General features: G+C 41.8%; 1 long non-coding RNA gene and 1 pseudogene across 1 annotated transcript in view, besides 5 other annotated features; one reads left to right on the top strand and one right to left on the bottom strand.

The window, feature by feature from the left end:
- Positions 485-1,426: an enhancer, noted in NCBI's record as "H3K27ac hESC enhancer chr5:90576277-90577218 (GRCh37/hg19 assembly coordinates)". NCBI's record gives its function as "activates a minimal SCP1, AML or CMV promoter by ChIP-STARR-seq in naive and primed H9 embryonic stem cells {active_cell/tissue: H9 hESC(naive and primed)}" and the evidence as "EXISTENCE:reporter gene assay evidence [ECO:0000049][PMID:30033119]".
- Positions 485-1,428: a biological region, named in NCBI's record as "H3K27ac hESC enhancer GRCh37_chr5:90576277-90577218".
- Positions 1,169-1,428: an enhancer, noted in NCBI's record as "active region_22786". NCBI's record gives its function as "activates an Ori minimal core promoter by ATAC-STARR-seq in GM12878 lymphoblastoid cells {active_cell/tissue: GM12878}" and the evidence as "EXISTENCE:reporter gene assay evidence [ECO:0000049][PMID:35858748]".
- Positions 1,427-2,368: an enhancer, noted in NCBI's record as "H3K27ac hESC enhancer chr5:90575335-90576276 (GRCh37/hg19 assembly coordinates)". NCBI's record gives its function as "activates a minimal SCP1, AML or CMV promoter by ChIP-STARR-seq in primed H9 embryonic stem cells {active_cell/tissue: H9 hESC(primed)}" and the evidence as "EXISTENCE:reporter gene assay evidence [ECO:0000049][PMID:30033119]".
- Positions 8,802-8,931: an enhancer, noted in NCBI's record as "active region_22785". NCBI's record gives its function as "activates an Ori minimal core promoter by ATAC-STARR-seq in GM12878 lymphoblastoid cells {active_cell/tissue: GM12878}" and the evidence as "EXISTENCE:reporter gene assay evidence [ECO:0000049][PMID:35858748]".
- On the bottom strand, positions 11,019-11,159 carry RNU4-90P (RNA, U4 small nuclear 90, pseudogene; annotated as a pseudogene).
- The window catches only part of LOC107986432 (uncharacterized), a 113,452-nt gene continuing 110,443 nt past the window's right edge, over positions 16,613-19,621 (top strand). The window contains exon 1 of the long non-coding RNA XR_001742795.2: positions 16,613-17,223. This is a non-coding gene — a long non-coding RNA (uncharacterized LOC107986432). The remainder of the gene's footprint in view (positions 17,224-19,621) is intronic.

Raw genomic sequence — 19,621 nt, 5'->3', positions numbered from 1 at the left:
TAAGTATACCTCCCATTACAACTAGTTCAAGTATATGAGATTCCATTTCTGGTCCATATTACTCATTTTGCTTTCTTGGGCTCTGATCCTCTCTCGTATTTTCATGTTTCCTATTTGTATTTGTTTGGGGCTTTTCTCTCCTTTACAAAATTGGGTAGTCATGCTTCTCCAGTAACCTTGGTGAGTCAGTTCAACCTCTAATTACTTCAGTCTCCTTGCCTGCAAGAAAAGCAGTCAAACTACACGAACACTCTATTGTTTTGCATCATTTCACACGTACACAGGGATAAGGAGGGAAATAATTCTCCCAATGAAGCAGAACCACCGGTAACAGCTGGCACAACTTCTAAAGACCCAGTCTGTCTTGAAAAACAGCCGCAAATTGTCCCTAAATAATAATTACCCCACCTGTATCAGGACTATCTCACTGACTAGCTGCACTTCATGACACAATACCTGCTATTAACTCTCAGCATGGATATAAACATTGCCATAATATTTTTTAAAACCAACAATGTATCATTTGCACATTAGGACAACAGAATGTTAGTTAAGGCACAGAAAACACAAAGGCATGGCTACCCTGTTCTTTGGTGACTCCATATCTAATTATTACCACACATGTCTCCAGTCTTTAGACAAATTTAGTTATTATAAGGGTGGTTGGACAAATAGCAAAGATTTGATTTTCATTAACAAAGGGCACATCAGAACCGAGTTAATCCTTCCCAGTTACCCAACATTCAAAGCTTCTAGTGCAGTCACTTTCTAGTCATTTTAGAACCCAGAGCAGTGTGACGATTTGATGCTTAAGTTTCAACACGTTTTATTAATCCATTCTTCTTGTGCTTCATTTAAAATATTGGAAACTATAAAAAGATCAGCGTGTTAATCCTCTGCCAGGAAACGGGAAAAAAAAGTTAAAAACCTAACAACAACACGAAAAGAGCAAGAGCGCTGGAATCTCAGCTTTGAGGAAACACATGGGATGAAAGCATCCGCCCAAGCTCTAACCATTTGTCACATGGGACTCTTCCCCTCGGGGGTGAATCCTGGATGTCCCCAGGATGGAGCGAGGAGGTCGTGCGTGCGGGCGAGTGTGTGACTGCAGGGGGCCTTGGCGGCGCGAGGAGGCGACGCCGCCCCCTCCCTCAGGCGCAGGGAGGGTCTTCCAGGAAGCGGCGGATCTCTGCTGACTCCGCGGCTGCGGGCCCCGGGCTGCGGCCGCCCAGGCCGGCACGTAGCGCCGAGCGTGACTCAGCGCTGACTCATCCGACTCGCTGCCAGTGGATTTCCCCCGTCAGCTGCTCGCGCTACTCCTGTCGCCGGGAGCTCGCAGGACTTCGCAGATACCGCTGCCTCCTTAGTCTTTCCTGAATAGCAGAGCAGTCCTGTCGCTTTAAACAGAGCAAGGCAGCTTTCACTGCTTTTGAATCCCGACCGAGCGGGGCACTGCCGTGCTTTGTTTTCTTTGCCTTTAAGAGTGCAATAGTCCACTAATCAAATTCTTTCATCAAAAGAGTGTTGGGACAAATCCCTGACATCGTCCTTCCACTGTGATTTGGAGATGACCTCCACCCAGGTTTCACTTCCGTTGTACCCAGCTCTCGTCTTATTTTTGTCCCTCATTTTGTGAATTTATCCTCTCACTACGCTTGATAACTAACCTTGGCGCAAACCCACAACTGTGGTGACGCAAATCAGGTTGGAACTTGGCATCGTTGTGTGCGGGCAGTGAGGGACTTACTGTAAAAACTGGGGCCTTCATAAAGGCGTTCTTATTTGCAATCCTACTTGCTGATTAGATACCGTGCTCATTTTCTGTCTGCCACTCCCCTTTGAAAGTTCCTGAGACAGGCCGGGCGCGGTGGCTCACGCCTGTAATCCCATCACTCTGGGAGGCCGAGGCGGGCGGATCACGAGGTCAGGAGATCGAGACCGTCCTGGCTAACACGGTGAAACACCGCCTCTATTAAAAAATACAAAAAATTAGCCGGGCGTAGTGGTGGGCGCTTGTAGTCCCAGCTACTCGGGAGGCTGAGGCAGGAGAATGGCGTGAACCTGGGAGGCGGAGCTTGCAGTGAGTGCCACTGCACTCCAGCCTGGGCGACAGAGCGAGACTCCGTCTCAAAAAAAAAAAAAAAAAAAAAAAAAGAAAGAAAGAAAGCTCCTGAGACAGATTTAGATGGACTGCTAAAACCTGTCCATCTAAATGGACCGGTTTAGATGGACCGCTCCCGGTCGTGCTCATTTCTTCTTCCCCAGAGTTCAATCTGCAGCGCAGCAGCAGGGCAGCATTTCTCTAACTTTACCGTGGACCGCCTGCATCAAAAGCGCCGCGGTAAAAATGCAGATTCTTGAAGCTCACTTCAAATTACAGACTCAGAATGTCCTGGCTGGGTGGGGGCATGGAGGCACCTGTCTGAGGTCGGGGCCTAGAAATAATCCATCGTATTAACCAACTACCTATCAGTGATTCTTAGGTACATTTAGGTTTGACAACTATAGCAAGAGGGCGAGGATGTGAGACATTATACTGGGTAGACTCTAGGACTCCTTACGATATAGAACACTGTGTTCTAAAATTGATGTTTAAGTTTTGATGGAAGGAAAAAATATTTCCAAATTTGGTTTTATATATTATATTGTTTGCTTTAACTGTATATTTATATAGACAAATTTCTTTTCTTTTTTTTTTTTTTTCTTTAAAGAGAGAAGGCCGAGGCGGGTGGATCATGAGGTCAGGAGATCGAGACCATCCTGGCTAACAAGGTGAAACCCCGTCTCTACTAAAAATACAAAAAATTAGCCGGGCGCGGTGGCGGGCGCCTGTAGTCCCAGCTACTGGGGAGGCTGAGGCAGGAGAATGGCGTGAACCCGGGAAGCGGAGCTTGCAGTGAGCCGAGATTGCGCCACTGCAGTCCGCAGTCCGGCCTGGGCGACAGAGCGAGACTCCGTCTCAAAAAAAAAAAAAAAAAAAAAAAAAAAAAAAAAAAAAAAAAAGAGAGAGTCTTTCTGTGTTGCCCAGGCTGGCCTCGAACTCCTGGGCTCAAGGAACCCTTCCGCCTCAGCCTCTCCAGTAGTTAGGACTACAGGCGTGCACCACCACTCGGCTCTTTTTCTTTCTTCCTTTTTATTTTTATTTACTTATTTTGAGACATGGTCTCACTCTCTCGCCTAGGCTAAAGTGAAGTGGTGGGATCTTGGCTCACTTCAGCCTCACCCTCCCCAGAATCAGGTGATAGTCCCACCTCAGCCTCCCCAGGGGCTGGGGCTACAGGTGTGTGCCACCATGCCTGAATAATTTTTGTATTTTTTTAAGAGACAGGGTTTCACCATGTTGCCCAGGCTGGTCTCGAACTCCTGGGCTCAAGGGATCCGCCTGCCTCGGCCTCCCAAGGTGCTGGGATTACAAGGGTGTACCACCATACCTGGCCGGCTCTTTTTTTTTTTTTTTAATTAGAACTTTGTTTATAAAATAAAATCAAGTTTCTATAAATTTTCTTTATTTCAGAGTAATATTTTTCCAATCTGACTTTGTGTCAGAATTACCCAAAGAGTTATAGAAAAACTCTTAATTCCTTGACCAGCCCTCAGGCTTAAAGACACTATCTCTGAAAGTGAAGCCCCCCAAATAGGCATTTTTTTCTTTTTTGACATGGTCTTACCCTGCTGCCCAGGCTGAAGTGCAGTGGCATGATCACTGCTTGCTGCAGCCTCAGTCTCCCAAGGGTCAGGTGATCCTCCCACCTCAGCCTCCCAAGTAGCTGGGGCTACAGGCGTGTGCCACACCTGGCTAATTTTTGTATTTCTTGTAGAGATGGGGTTTTTCCATGCTCCCCAGGCTGGTCTCAAATTTCTGAGCTCAAGTGATCCGCCTACCTAGACCTCTTAAAGTACTGGAATTACAGGCATGAGCCACGACACCCAGCCAAAAATAGGCATTTTGAAATGCTTTCAAAGTTAGTCTTTGAACTTTTTCAAAGTCACCACTATTCCCAAGTAGTAACATCAGTAACTCCAGGGTAGTTGGCCTATATTGTTCCATTATGGTGCTCATTCATCTCTCAGTCTGCAGTGTTTCATTTGGAAATCACCATTTTAAAAATAAAATTATGCTAAAAAGGAATTTGATGAGATAAAAGGAAAAAGAGAAAAAAGTGACCACATAAAATATCAGCTCACTATTATATTCATAAATTCACTTATTTAGAAAACAAGGTTGAAATATTTGTATTCTAAATCTTTTGTGCAGGTGGGGAGAGGGAGTTGATTGGACAATAATCTTCAAGTGTATTTTGAAATTTTTAGGTCAGGTGTGGTGGCTCATGCCTGCAATCCCAACACTTTGGAAGGCCAAGGCGGGAGAGAGGATTGCTTGAGCCCAGGTGTTCAAGACCAGCCTGGGCAACATAGCAAGACACTGTCTCTAAAAGAAAGAAAGAAAAGTAATTGTTTTCCCCTTGGATATTTTGTTTACTTCTTTTCTTTTCCTTCCCTCCCCCTCCCCCTCCCCCTTCTCCTCCTCCTCCTCCTCCTCCTCATTCTTCTTTCTTCTTTAGGGGAGAGGCACAAGACACAAGTTCCATGAATACTTCTTTTCGTTCCACTGGGTTTTTCCATTTAATCTCTGCTAGCATTGTGGCAAAAAGCCAAAAATCCTAGATCTGAAACATGCCTGACAAAGACATCTCGGCTCACTGCAACCTCCACCTCCCAGGTTCAAGTGATTCTCTTGTCTCAGTCTCTAGAGTAGCTGGGATTGCAGGCGCACACCACCACGCCCAGCTAATTTATTTTTATTTTTATTTTTATTTTTTGAGACGGAGTCTCGCTCTGTTGCCCAGGCTGGAGGGCAGTGGTGTGATCTTGGCTCACCACAACCTCCGCCTCCTGGATTAAGAGATTCTCTTCCCTCAGCCCCCCGAGTAGCCGGGACTACAGGCACCATGCCCTGCTAAGTTTTGTACTTTTAGTAGAGACGGGGTTTCACTATGTTGGCCAGGCAGGTCTTGAACTCCTGACCTCATGATCTGCCTGCCTCAGCTTCCCAAAGTTCTGGGATTACAGGCATGAGCCACTGTGCCCGGCCAACGCCCAGCTAATTTTTAAAATTTAATTTAGTTTTATTTATTTATTTATTTTTTGAGACGGAGTCTCGCTCTGTCGCCCAGGCTGGAGTGCAGTGGCATGATCTCGGCTCACTGCAACCTCCGCCTCCCTTCCCAGATTCAAGTGATTCTCCTGCCTCAGCCTCTCAAGTAGCTGGGACGCGCAGCTAATTTTTGTATTTTTAGTAGAGTCGGGGTTTCATCATGTTCGCCAGGCTTGTCTCAAACTCTTGACCTCAAGTGATCCACCCGCCTCAGCCTCCCAAAGTGCTGGGATTGCAGGTGTGAGCTCCCGCACTGGGCCTGGTTGACTTTTTTATAGCCTTGCTTCTCCAAGCTTGGTCCTTGGTCCAGCATCACCTGGGAACAGACTCTCAGACCCCGTCCATAACTACCAAATCAGAATGTGCTTGTTAGCAAGATCCCCAGGTGATGTGTGTGTATTAAAATTCAGGAACCACTCTTACAGTAATTGTAAGAGTTACAATCTAAGGCTGGTGCAGGAAGAAAGAAGAAGAAACGAGTCTGGTTGTGGAGGGGACATGTATTAGTTTCCTAGGGTTGCAATAACAAAATACCACAAACTGGGTGATTAAAACAATAGAAATTTATTCTCTCACAGTTCTGGAAACCAGAGTCCAAAGTGAAGAAGTCGGCAGAGCCATGTTCCTTCTGAAACTCTGGGTAGAATCCTTCCTTGTATCTTCCTAGCTTCCAGGGGTGACCATGGGTACTTGCAGCTCCTGGGTTTGTAGCTGTATTACTTCAGCCTTTGCTCCTGTGGTCACATGGCATTCTCCCTGAGTGCCTGTCTTTTACGTCGTCTTCTTATAAGGACACCAGTTATGTTGGATTAGGGCCCAGTGAATACACTGTAAATTGATTATATCTGCAAAGGTCCTATTTTCAGATAAGGTCACATGGACAGGTACTTGGGTATAGGATGTCAGTAAATTACTTTGGGGGAACACAAGTTATCCCATAATAGGGAGATGTGGAGATTTTATTACCAATAAGTTGAAATGCATTATGTGAAAAATAACTTAAAAAATAAGCATTATTTTAAAATAAGCTGATCACATTTTATTTTTAAATTTTATTTATTTATTATTTATTTTTGAAACAGAGTCTCACTCTGTTGCCCAGGCTGGAGTGCAGTGGCACGATCTCGGCTCACTGCAACCTCTGCCTCCTGAATTCAAGTGATTCTCCTGCTTCAGCCTCCCAAGTAGCTGGGATTACAGGTGCATGCCACCATGCCTGGCTAATTTTTTGTTTGTTTGTTTGTTTGTATTTTTAGTAGAGACAGGGTTTCACCATGTTGGCCAGGCTAATCTCGAACTCCTGACCTCAAGTGATCCATCTGCCTTGGCCTCCCAAAGTGCTGGGATTACAGGTGTGATCCACTGCGCCCAGCCTCAAGGGCAACTTAGCATCTCTTATAACATCATGCCAAGTTGAAAGTAAGAACTCAGTAGTTATTAATAATAATAGTCAAAGCTATGGCATACCTCTGGACAAGCATACAAAATCTCACATGTTTAAATCTACCTATGGTACAAGGCAAGACAAATTTCTACCACAAAGGGTTAGTTTGACCATAGAAAGTAAGCTCTAAAAAAAAGGGAAAAATCAGGGCTTGGTGGCTCACGCCTGTAATCCCAGCTACTTGAGAGGCTAAGTAAGGCAGGGTGAATTGCTCAAACCCAGGAGGTGGAGGTTGCAGTGAGCTGAGATCGTACCACTGCACTCCAGCCTGAGTAACAGAGCAAGACTCTGTCTCAGGGAAAAAAAAAAAAAGTGAAAAAAAAAATTATAGCTAAAATTATAATCACATTGACAGATAAACCAAAAATATCATAGGACCAGGGCAAAAAAGAGAAGGGAATCCTTATAATCCCAGGAAAGGATAAGAGTAGGACCAGAGGGGCAGCTTCAAGGTAGTAATGTCATTTTATTTTATTTTTTTTCTGGTTAAATAAAATGTTTTATTATAATAAATCTCACCTGTTTCTTCTTTTTTTTTTTTTATATTATACTTTAAGTTTTAGGGTACATGTGCACATTGTGCAGGTTAGTTACATATGTATACATGTGCCATGCTGGTGCGCTGCACCCACTAACTCGTCATCTAGCATTAGGTATATCTCCCAATGCTATCCCTCCCCCCTCCCCCCACCCCACCACAGTCCCCAGAGTGTGATATTCCCCTTCCTGTGTCCATGTGATCTCATTGTTCAATTCCCACCTATGAGTGAGAATATGCGGTGTTTGGTTTTTTGTTCTTGCGATAGTTTACTGAGAATGATGGTTTCCAGTCTCATCCATGTCCCTACAAAGGACATGAACTCATCATTTTTTATGGCTGCATAGTATTCCATGGTGTATATGTGCCACATTTTCTTAATCCAGTCTATCATTGTTGGACATTTGGGTTGGTTCCAAGTCTTTGCTATTGTGAATAATGCCGCAATAAACATACGTGTGCATGTGTCTTTATAGCAGCATGATTTATAGTCATTTGGGTATATACCCAGTAATGGGATGGCTGGGTCAAATGGTATTTCTAGTTCTAGATCCCTGAGGAATCGCCACACTGACTTCCACAATGGTTGAACTAGTTTACAGTCCCACCAACAGTGTAAAAGTGTTCCTATTTCTCCACATCCTCTCCAGCACCTGTTGTTTCCTGACTTTTTAATGATTGCCATTCTAACAATGCCATCCCCATCAAGCTACCAATGACTTTCTTCACAGAATTGGAAAAAACTACTTTAAAGTTCATATGGAACCAAAAAAGAGCCCGCATCGCCAAGTCAATCCTAAGCCAAAAGAACAAAGCTGGAGGCATCACACTACCTGACTTCAAACTATACTACAAGGCTACAGTAACCAAAACAGCATGGTACTGGTACCAAAACAGAGATATAGATCAATGGAACAGAACAGAGCCCTCAGAAATAACGCCGCGTACCTACAACTATCTGATCTTTGACAAACCTGAGAAAAACAAGCAATGGGGAAAGGATTCCCTATTTAATAAATGGTGCTGGGAAAACTGGCTAGCCATATGTAGAAAGCTGAAACTGGATCCCTTCCTTACACCTTATACAAAAATCAATTCAAGATGGATTAAAGATTTAAACGTTAGACCTAAAACCATAAAAACCCTAGAAGAAAACCTAGGCATTACCATTCAGGACATAGGCGTGGGCAAGGACTTCATGTCCAAAACACCAAAAGCAATGGCAACAAAAGCCAAAATTGACAAATGGGATCTAATTAAACTAAAGAGCTTCTGCACAGCAAAAGAAACTACCATCAGAGTGAACAGGCAACCTACAATATGGGAGAAAATTATTGCAACCTACTCATCTGACAAAGGGCTAATATCCAGAATCTACAATGAACTCAAACAAATTTACAAGTAATGTCATTTTAAAAGCCCTTGACAGTTTGTAGTAGGAATCTCTTTTTGTCTGCCCAGCATTAATTCTCCCTCTTTCCTTTGAGAAGCCTCAGGTCATCCTGGCCAACATTTCTGTGTAGAACTCTCAGCCACAGTGTTTGCCTTCCCCTCGTCCCTTCCCCCAAGGTTGAAACACAGGGCTATTTTTGTCCTAGCCATCTGAATATGGAGTATAGTCTCAAAAATGAAGAAGGTGGTTGAAGCTGAGTCATTTTAGTGGTAGTGATCAGAGACACCAACCAGATATTTTGTTTGTTTTACCACTGAGAATCCCAGAGCAACCCTAGTTGCTATCCTCCACAAGTCCCCCTTGGTTTTTTGTTTGTTTTGTTTCTTTTTTTTTTCTTGGGACAGAGTCTTACTCTGTCACCCAGGGTAGAGTGACAACCTCTGCCTCCAGGGTTCAAGCAATTCTCCTGCCTCAGCGTCACAAGTAGCTGAGATTACAGGTGCCCACCACCATGCCTGGTAAAGTTTTGTATTTTTAGAAGAGATGGGGTTTCACCATGTTGGCCAGGCTGGTCTCAAACTCCTGAGCTCAGGTGATCCGCCCACCTAGTCCCCATTGTTTAGTTATTTCTTTTGTTTGAAATGCTACCTAGTATCTTTCCAAATGTTATTTTATTAAAAAAATTTAGGTGTCAATGTTTAACTTGTATATTGTTATTTTTAGTTAATTATAACTTACTTTAAATTATTTTTAATGGGCCCAGAGCTAGCCTCAGTTGATTTCTATTGCTTACAAAGAAACCTAAGCAACAAAGATACTGATGGAGAGAACACATACTGCTCACCCACTAAGACACCTGAAATAGTAGTCTGCATTCATGATAAATAAAATATGCACTCTTGAAATATAATGAAGCTTTTTTCAGTTTGTTTCAATGGATTTTACCATTATTGTCCTATATATTTTTTACATTTTTATTTACTTATTTATTTATTTTAGAGATGGAGGGTCTCACTGTGTTGCCCAGGCTGGAGTGCAGTGGCTATTCACAGGTGCAATTATGGCACATTACAGCCTTGAACTTCTGCACTCAAGCTAGCCACCTGCCTCAGCCTCCTTAGTAGCTGGGACTACAGACATGCACCACTGCATCCAGCTAGCCCTGTATTTCAAGCTGAGTCATTTTTCCTTTCTAACTACCCAAATTGCCAGTGGGTGAAAATGAGAAAATCTCTATTATTATGCTACTTGAAGACACCAATAATCTTTTAAACCTTTTTTTTTTTTTTGAGACAGGGTCTTGCTCTGTTGCCCAGGCTGAAGTGCAGTGGTACAAACATGGCTCACCACAGCCTTGACCTCCTGGGCTCAAGCAATCCTCCTGCCTTAGCCTCCCAAATAGCTGGAAGCACAGGCACACACCACCATGCCCAGCTAATTTTATTTATTTATTTATTTATTTATTTATTTATTTATTTATTTAAGATGGAGTCTCGTTCTGTCTCCCAGGCTAGAGTGCAGTGGCTCAGTCTTGGCTCAATGCAACCTCCGCCTCCTGGGTTCAAGTGATTCTCCCACCTCAGCCTCCTGAGTAGCTGGGATTTCAGGTGCGTGCCACCACACCCAGGTAATTTTTGTATTTTTAGTAGAGACAGGGTTTTGCCATGTTGGCTGGGCTGGTCTCGAACTCCTGACCACAGGTGATCCACCCGCCTTGGCCTTACCCAAAGTGCTGGAATTACAGGTGTGAGCCACTTCACCTGGCCTATTTACTTATTCTTTTGTAGAGATGGGGTCTTACCATGTTGCCCAGGCTGGTCTTGAACTCCTGGGCTCAAGCGATCCCCTCATCTAGGCCTCCTCAAATGCTGGGATTACAGGCATGAGCTACTGCACCTGGCCCCAATAATCTTTATGTTGTCTCCAAATGGTTTTCATGATAATTGTGATATTAAGATTAATAACAAGTGCTCCAAGGTTCCTCATTAGAGCGAGTTTACCAAGGGTCTAATTGGCATAATAGAAACAGAGTCATTGTTATGCCAGGCTAAATGTGATCTTTTTTCTGCAAGCAAAGAAATAATATTAGCCTAAAGCTTTCATATTGACTAACACTAATTGTGTGTGCTTTGAGTTCTCCTGATAAAATTTAGCATTTATTTATTTATTATTCAGTCTCTGTAGAGATGGTCAAAATTTGCTAATGCTGGAGTCTGGGCTCAGTGGCTCACACCTGTAATCCTAGCACTTCGGGAGGCCAAAGTGGGAGGATCGCTTGAGCCCAGGATTTCGAGACCAGCTTGGGCCGCATGGTAAACCCTATCTCTACAAAAAATATGAAAATTATTCGGGCATGGTGTTAGGTGTTTGTAGTCCCAGCTACTTGGGAGGCTAAAGTGGGAGGATCACCTGAGCCTGGGAGGTTGAGGTTGTGGTGAGCTGTGACTATACCACTGCACTCCAGCCTGGGTGACAGAGTCAGACCATTTCTTAAACAAACAAACAAAAAATTGCCAATACTGACTATATCGCAAGTCATTACAGTGAAGTATTGGGAACAGTTTTCAATTAATAATAATTGCACATTGGATAAACTGCATTGGCTACCATACTGCCACTGCTCAAAGCTTCCTGATAAAATTTAATTTGACCAAGGTATATCAGCTTCTCAGAATCCTTACTGCTTACTCTTGTAAGTCTCCCTCTCTTGACATGCTTGCATCAATGGCTGCATGGTGGATACGGTTTCATTTCACTGGAGTGTAGGGGGCATATAAGGAAAGTAAATCCAAAATGGTAACTGATTTTGAGATTACAGTGAATCATGAATGCCATGATAAGGACTCCACACTTACACAGAATGCGTTAATGGATTTTGACCAAAGTAAGGGAAATGACATTTTTTAGTGCATATTATGTGCCTGCAACTACATTCAACCAAATTCATTGGTTTCCTGCATACGATAGGTGAGGATTGAGCTCTCTTATACCACCTATGACTTTAAGTAAAATACTTAAGACTCAACCAATTAAAAAAAAAATCAATGACAATGTGAATACCTACTTCGTTGGAAGAGGGTATGCACACCTGTCTTTCTCTTTACCTGTCTTTTCTCTTTGTACCTGTTAAATTCTGTCATCTGTGTGTCCCTTGACCTTATTGAGGTTGATGACATTTATATAATTAACTGTTTTGAGATTTGTCTATAGGTTGACAATGAAAGTAAAAAAAGTCTTACCATTTGCATTATTAAGACTGGGCTGAGAGCAGTGGCTTATGCCTGTAATCCCAGCATTTTGGGAGGCCGAGGTGGGCGGATCACTTGAGGCCGGGGGTTCAAGACCAGCCTGGCCAACATGATGAAATCCCATCTCTGCTAAAAAATGCAAAAATTAGCTGGGCATGGTGACGCACACTTGTAATCCCAGCTACTTGAGAAACTGAGGTGGGAGGATTGTTTGAACCTGGGAGGCAGAGGTTGCAGTGAGCCCAGATTGCGCTACTGCACTCCAGCCTGGGTGACAGAGCAAGACTCTGTCTAAAAAGGGAAAAAAAAAAAAAAAAAAAAAAAAAAAGACTGTATGGGCTGGGCTTGGTGGCTCACGCCTATAATCCTAGCACTTTGGGAGGCCGAGATGGGTGGACTGCTTGAGCTCAGGAGTTCGAGACCAGCCCGGGCAACCTGGCAAAACCCCAGCTCTACAAAAAATTAGCACACCTGTAGAACTGGCTACTTTAGGGACTGAGGTGGGAGGATTGTTTGAGCCCAGGAGGTGGATGCTGCAGTGAGCTGAGATCACACCAGTGCACTCCAGCGTGGGAGACAAAGTGGATCCTGTCTCAAAAAAAAAAAAGAAAGAAAGAAAAGAAAAAGACTGTATGAATACTCTTCATGGCAGAGAAAATAATGTAGTATTGTGTGGAGAAACCACAAACTGTTTCTCCTCTGCCACAACAATCAACACTTCTGACTGAGTGTGGGGGAGGGGTTTCCCCACACAACAAGCAAGCAATCATTTCTGCAGTGGATACCAGCTGCATGTCCTCTAATTCAATTCTGACACTATCTACCTGGAGATAGTGTCAGATCCCATAGGCTGAGGCCTACGTCCCCAAAACTGCCCCTCTTCCCCACTTCCGATGCCAGTCACAAGCCCCAGCTTGTTCTACCTGTGTTTCTGATCAGCCAGCTATAAACTGGGGATCCCACAACCTCCTCCTGGGTTTAGCTACTTGCTAGAGCAGCTTAGAGAACTTGGGGAAACATTTATGTTGTTTACTGGTTTATTATGAGGGATATTACAAAGGATACAGATGAAGAGATGCATAGGGTAAGGCCTGGGGGAATGGGAGCAGAGCTTCCATGCCCACCCTGAGGTCACCACCCTGTAGAACATCCACGTGTTCAGCTATCCAGAAGCTCTGTGAATCCTGCTCTCTTGGGTCTTTGGTGGAGACTACATTGGACTGGCATGATTGCTAGCTATGTAGAAATGTGATTGGACACAAAAGCATGATCTCATGGTAATGAGCTGAGTGGGAAAACTCAGCGAGGCCTGTCTGTTTAGATTTTTCTTGGCCTTTCTGTGCAGCATTTTTTCCTCCAGGGTATATGGGGCATGACTTCTTCTGAAAAGCAGGGGAAGATTAGGGTCCTTCCTTGGTGACAAAAAGGAACAGGTGAAAGAAGGGCAGGAGAAGGCCAGGAGCAGTAGCTCACGCCTGGAATCCCAGCACTTTGGGAGGCCAAGCGAGTGGAGTTTAGCCCAGGAGTTTGAGACCAGCCTGGCCAACATGGTGAAACCCTGTCTCTATTAAAAATACAAAACAATTAGCCAGACATGGTGGTGCATGCCTGTAGTCCCATCTACTCGGGAGGCTGAGGCAGGAGAATCGCTTGAACCTGGGAGGCAGAGGTTGCGGTGAGCAGAGATCGCGCCACTGCACTCCAGCCTGGATGATACAGCGAGACTCTTTCTCAAAAAAAAAAAAAAAAAAAAAAAAGAAGGGCAGGAGAAGATGAAAGAAAAAGGTTCTGTTTTCTGAGGCTTGCTTCTGAGGCCTTAAGTGCCCCAACATTATAACAAAATATTAAAACAAAAGCTATGGGAATTATGAGCCAGGAACTGTGGATTAAAATCAATATATGTATATATTATATCACAAGTATAATTGCATGTCCTTTTCTGAAATCTATTATTTTTCCTAGAGTTTCTAATTAAAAAAATTTTTTATTATTGCCCATAATTTCTTCCAAAATTCTCAAACGTACTACTTGGTCTATGGAAACTTTTCTTTCTAGGAGACCTCCAGCCTCTGGTGTACCTCTGGCCTCTTTGAACTGATTGCTTTCTAGCCCTGTTGAACAGCTATTACTTTGAGACTTCTGTACATTGCAATATTAGGTTGGAGCCACTGTCTTGTAGATCCCATATCTTCATTCCTTGACTTATTCCCTCTACTCTCAAGTATCTTTAAAGAGAAAATGCCTGAAAGATAAACTTACTAATTCTTGCGTATCTAAATTTTTTTTGTTTTTACATTTAATTGACTTTATTTATTTCTTTATATTTATTTATTATTTATTTATTTTGAGACAGAGTTTTGCTCTTGTTGCCCAGACTGGAGTGCAATGGCGCAATGTTGGCTCACCACAACCTCCGCCTCCTGGGTTCAAGCGATTCTCCTGCCTCTGCCTCCCGAGTAGCTGGGATTACAGGCATGTGCCACCACGCCTGGTTAATTTTGTATTTTTAGTAGAGACGGAGTTTCTCCATGTCTGTCAGGCTGGTCTCGAACTCCTGACCTTAGGTAATCCACCAGCCTCAGCCTCCCAAAGTGCTGGGATTAACAGGCATGATCCACCACACCTGGCCCATTTCATTGATATTTAAGCTGTCTAGAACTCTTGATTGAAATCATTTTCCTTCAAAAACCAACAGCATTGCTTCATTGTCTTAACAGTATTGCAGATGAGAAGTCAGGTGAAAGCCTGAATTTTTATTATTTTTTCCACTCTAACCTTTGAATTTCTTCTCTTTATTCTTCTTCTTTTTTTTTTTTTTCAAAGAGGGGGTCTTGCTGTGCTGCCTAATCTGGTCTTGAACTCCTGGGCTCAAATGATCCTCCTATCCTGGCCTCCCAAAATGTTGAGATTACAGGCATGAGCCACTGCACCCATACTTCTTTATTCTATTTTTGTTTTAAGTGAAAGCAAGTTTATTAGGAAAGTAAAGGAATAAAAGAATGGCTACTCTACAGGCAGAGCAGCCTATTCTTTATTTTTAGTTTAGCTATTCCTAGCTTTCTGTAATTTTAGGGTATTGTTTTTACTTATGGGTATTCCATTTATTCTGCTCATCATTTAGCAGAAACTTTCAGTTGGAAAATTCATGGCTCTTCAATAGAATTTCTCTGATAAACTTATTAGAGCTTTATCAGAGAAAAAGATGAAGAAATAGGTGTGTAAATACATTTTCAGGTTGTAAAGCTAGGATTTATAGGCACAAGCTAAACAATCTATCCACTTTTAACAATTTATGAAGATAATTAAAAGACACATATAGAGCATTCCAAAACTAAATGTAGCAATCTACTGGTGAAAAATTCCTAGTTTTCTTTCAATCCAATGTCCTAATTCCTTAAATGTAAAAGAGCAAATTTCAAATATACAATACATCTCATTCTTACTCACTACATCTAAACACAGGTGAAAACAAAACAAAACAAAACAAAACAAAGCAAACTCCCCGCAACAATGGTATCTACAACTCTTCATAAGGCTTATATCCTTACTAAAATATTGTGGTTCATGCAGTTCACTTTCTATTAATAGAACAGCCTGATGACTCATTTTGCACATTTAGAGTGTAATGAGGATTTCCAGATCTGCAGTACCTGTGATGACCATAAATACCTCCTTCAAATTAAAACACATTTTTTAAAAAATAGTTCTTTGAAATATTATTTTGAAAAAGATAAAGTATGATTTAGGTACAGTAATTTTTATGCATTTTAGTGCATAGTTTTGTAAGCTTTGACAAACGCATACAGTCATGTAACCACCACCACAATCAAAATACCAAGTAGTTCCTTCACTCCTCAAAGTCCCTCCTACCTCCCTCCAACCTCGTATCCTTTTGAAGTCAAACACACCCCTGCCCTGCAGCCCCTGGAAATCACTCATCTGTTTTTTTTTTCTGTATAATTTTGCCTCTTCCAGAATTCCATGTAACTGTTATCAGAGAGTATGTAGGCTTTTTTTTTTCATTTAGCGTAATGAATTTGAGATTTATCAGTTTTCCTGAGTACATCAGTAGTCTGTTCCTTTTTATTGCTGATAGTATTCCATCATACAGATATGCCAGAATCAGCTTATCCAAATATTGATATTTAACCATTTATCAAGACCTTATTTTACAGACAAGGGTAGTTTCATGACTTTTGAAATTACACATTTTTTTTTTCTTGAGATGGAGTCTCATTCTGCTGCCCAGGCCGGAATGCAGTGGCACCATCTCGGCTCACTGCAACCTCCGCTTTCCGGGTTCAAGTGATTATCATGCTTCGGCCTCCTGAGTAGCTGGGATTATAGGTGTGCGCCACCATGCCTGGCTAATTTTTGTATTTTCAGTAGAGATGGGGTTTCACCATGTTGGCCAGGCTGGTCTCCAACTTCTGACCTCAAGTGATCCACATGCCTGGGCCTCCCCAAGTGCTGGGATTACAGGCATGAGCCACCACCCCTGGCCTAGGCATTTATTAAGAAGGAAAAAAGGGGCCAGGTGTGGTGGCTCATGCCTGTAATCCCAGCACTTTGGGAGGCCAACGTGGGTGGATCACGAGGTCAGGAGTTCAAGACCAGCCTGGCCAACAAGGTGAAACCTCGTCTCTACTAAAAATACAAAAAAAGCCGGGCGTGGTGGCGGGCGCCTGTAATCCCAGCTACTCAGGAGGCTGAGGCAGGAAAATCGCTTGAACCCAGGAGGCGGAGGTTGCAGTGAATACAATAAAATACACCCATAGAATGGCCGATATCGCGCCATTGCACTCCAGCCTGGGTGACAGAGCGAGACTTCATCTCAAAAAAAAGAAGGAAGAAAGGTACATTCTCATAATGCCTTAAATTAGTTACTTGGGATTTATTTGACAATGATTAGGAATAACTGTTTCAAAAGATATATTTTTTCATATACCTTAGAAAACAATAGATATTTGTTCAACTCTCTAATTGTGGGTTTGCATTTGAAATGTGTATTGTGATTCAAAAGTTTTCTCTACCTAGAAGGGGAATACAACACATGGAAATTATTATTGCTGGTGACACCAGATAATATTTTGCCTAAACTCCTGAGGTGAGTGCTCTATGAAGACCCCATTCAACCCAGACCTTTGAAATGGCTCACTTCCCATTTAAACTCTATTAATCTTCTACCTCATGGAGGCAACAGGTGGTTTAGAAAAGAGCCAATAGAAAGATAATTTTTGTCCTTCAGGATCAGTGCCAATGGAAAAAAGTGACCTGAAATACAGATCTCAGGCCTGACATGATGAAAATCTAGTGCCACAGCTGTTGTCTCTCAGAACTGTCACTCATCATGTTTTAATTTCACAGTTTTGATTTAATCTTTTCTAAATACAGCACTGGATAAATACAGAACAAGATAACAAGAGTTCCCAGCAAAGGATCCAGGTTGGTATTCACACTATCCTCTTTTCACCTCTTCCCCAGCCCTTTGGGTTTTATTTTCTGTGGTGGTTGCATCTCCAGCACCACTATATTCCTGAGGGACAGGGCTTCTTTACCAGCTCTTGAGCCTAACAAGAATCCTAGTGGTTTGATTTCAGTGTGATTTATTTATCTTTCTTATCAGGCTAACCAGAATGCTTTTATCAGCCATGTTAATTTGTAACACACAGTGGAATTGGGTTTGTAGTTGAAAAAAAAAAGTTTTTCAATGATGTACCCCTAAGAGCCCCTCTTTTCTAAGCTCTGTAATGAAAAATACTATTGTCAGCCATGGATTAGTTCTTTTTCTTATGAAGCTACCTTTAAAGAACTACAGTGAGTTATAATTTACATACGATAAAATGCACCCATTCTAAGCATACAATCTTGATGAACGTATATGCTTGAGTAAACCACTACTATAAGATATGGAGCATTCTCCCCGTCACCCACAGGCCTCCCTAATACCTCTTTTCAGTCAGTTCTGCCTCCAACCTGAGTCGCAAGCAACTGATCTGCTTTCTAACATGATAGATTGCTTTTGCCTTTTTCAGATTATTCTGTAAACAGTGTGTACTCTTTTTGGCCTGGCTTTCTTACTTAGCATAAACTTTTTGAGATTCATCGATGTTGTTGCATGCATGTGTAACTTGTGTTTTCTGTTTTTCCCCAACTGAGTTTTATTTCATTTTATGAATACACCACAATTAGTTTATCCATTTTTTTGCTGATGAACATTCGGATTGTATCCACTTTAGGGCTATTTTGAGTAAAGCTGCTATGGACATTTGTATGTAAATCTTTATGTAGTATTCATTTCTCTTGGGCAAATATCTAGGAGAAAATGGCTGGGTTGTATGATTAAGTATATAATTTTAGTCATTTTAGTGGGTTTGCAGAGGTATATCATTGTGATTTTAACTTGCAGTTTCCTGAAGACTAAGGACAAGACTAAGGACATTGAACAGTTTAATTTATCCCTATTTCATATTTTTTGGTGCTGTTGTGAATGTAATTGTTTCTTTAATTTCATATCCAAGGGATCTTGGCTAGTATCTAGAAATACAATTGATTCTTTAATATTGACCTTATTTTCTATAATTTTGCTAAATTCACTTATTTGTCTCAGTAGTTTATTTGGGATTCCTTAAACTTTTCTATATGCACAATCATGTTGATGGGTAAATACAGTTTTACTTCCTCCTTTCCAATCTTGCTTTGTATTTTTTTTCTTGCCTTATTGTAATGACTAGGATTTCCGGTACTTTGTTGAATATATGTGATAAATGCAGACCATCCCTTTGTCTTTGGAGGGGAAATACTCAATATTTCAATATGATGTGTGATGTTAGCTCTAGGTTTTCCACGGGTGTCCTTTATCAGATTGAGGATTCTCTTTTCCATCCTATTTGTTGAGAGTTTTACCATGAAAGGGTGTTGAAATTTGCCAAATACCTTTTCTGTGTCTATTAAAATGATTATATATTTTTTCTTCTTTATTCTATTAATATGGTGAATTACATCAACTGATTGTTTTTTTTTTTTTTTTTTTGAGAGAGTCTCGCTTTGTTGCCCAGGCTGGAGTGCAATGGCATAATCTTGGCTCACTTCAACCTCTGCCTCCCAGGTTAGAGTGATTCTCCTGCCCTAGCCTCCCAAGTAACTGGGATTATAGGCGCGTGCCACCACACCCGGCTAATTTTTGTATTTTTAATAGAGACAGGGTTTCACCATGTTGACCAGGCTGGTCTCAAACTCCTGACCTCAGGTGATCCACCCACCTTGGCCTCCCAAAGTGCTGGGATTACAAACATGAGCCACCGTGCCTGGCCATATCAACTGATTTTGAATGTCAAATCAAGTTTGAAATCCCGCAATTACAAATACATGGTCATAGTCATGACATATTAATCCTCTTTATATATTGCAGGATTGATTTTCTAATAGTTTAATGATTTTTTTCCTTTTGTCTATGTTCAGGAGAGATTAATCTATAGTTTTCTTTCTCATGATGTCTTTAACTGGTTTTGGTACTGATATAACGGTGGTCTTGTAAAATAAGTCAAAAATGGTTCACTCTTTCTGTTTTTCTTATGCAGTTTCTGTGGAATTGGTATTACTCTTTTATTGATTGTCTAATACAGTTCACTAGTAAAGCTATCTAGACCTGGAGTTGTGTGTGTATATGTGTGTGAAAGTTTTTAATTTGAATTTAATTTGACTATTCATATTTTCTATTTTCTATTAACAAAATTAGTAATTTGGGTCTCTCAAGGAATTTGTTTATCTAACCATTGAATTTATTGGCATAAGGATGTTTAAATATTTTTAGTAGAGACTGGGTTTCACTGTGTTAGCCAGG

This window comes from Homo sapiens, chromosome 5 (genome assembly GCF_000001405.40).
Source record: "Homo sapiens chromosome 5, GRCh38.p14 Primary Assembly".
In the NCBI taxonomy this organism is placed as follows: Eukaryota; Metazoa; Chordata; class Mammalia; order Primates; family Hominidae; genus Homo; species Homo sapiens.
This window is presented reverse-complemented; position numbering and strand designations above follow the sequence as displayed.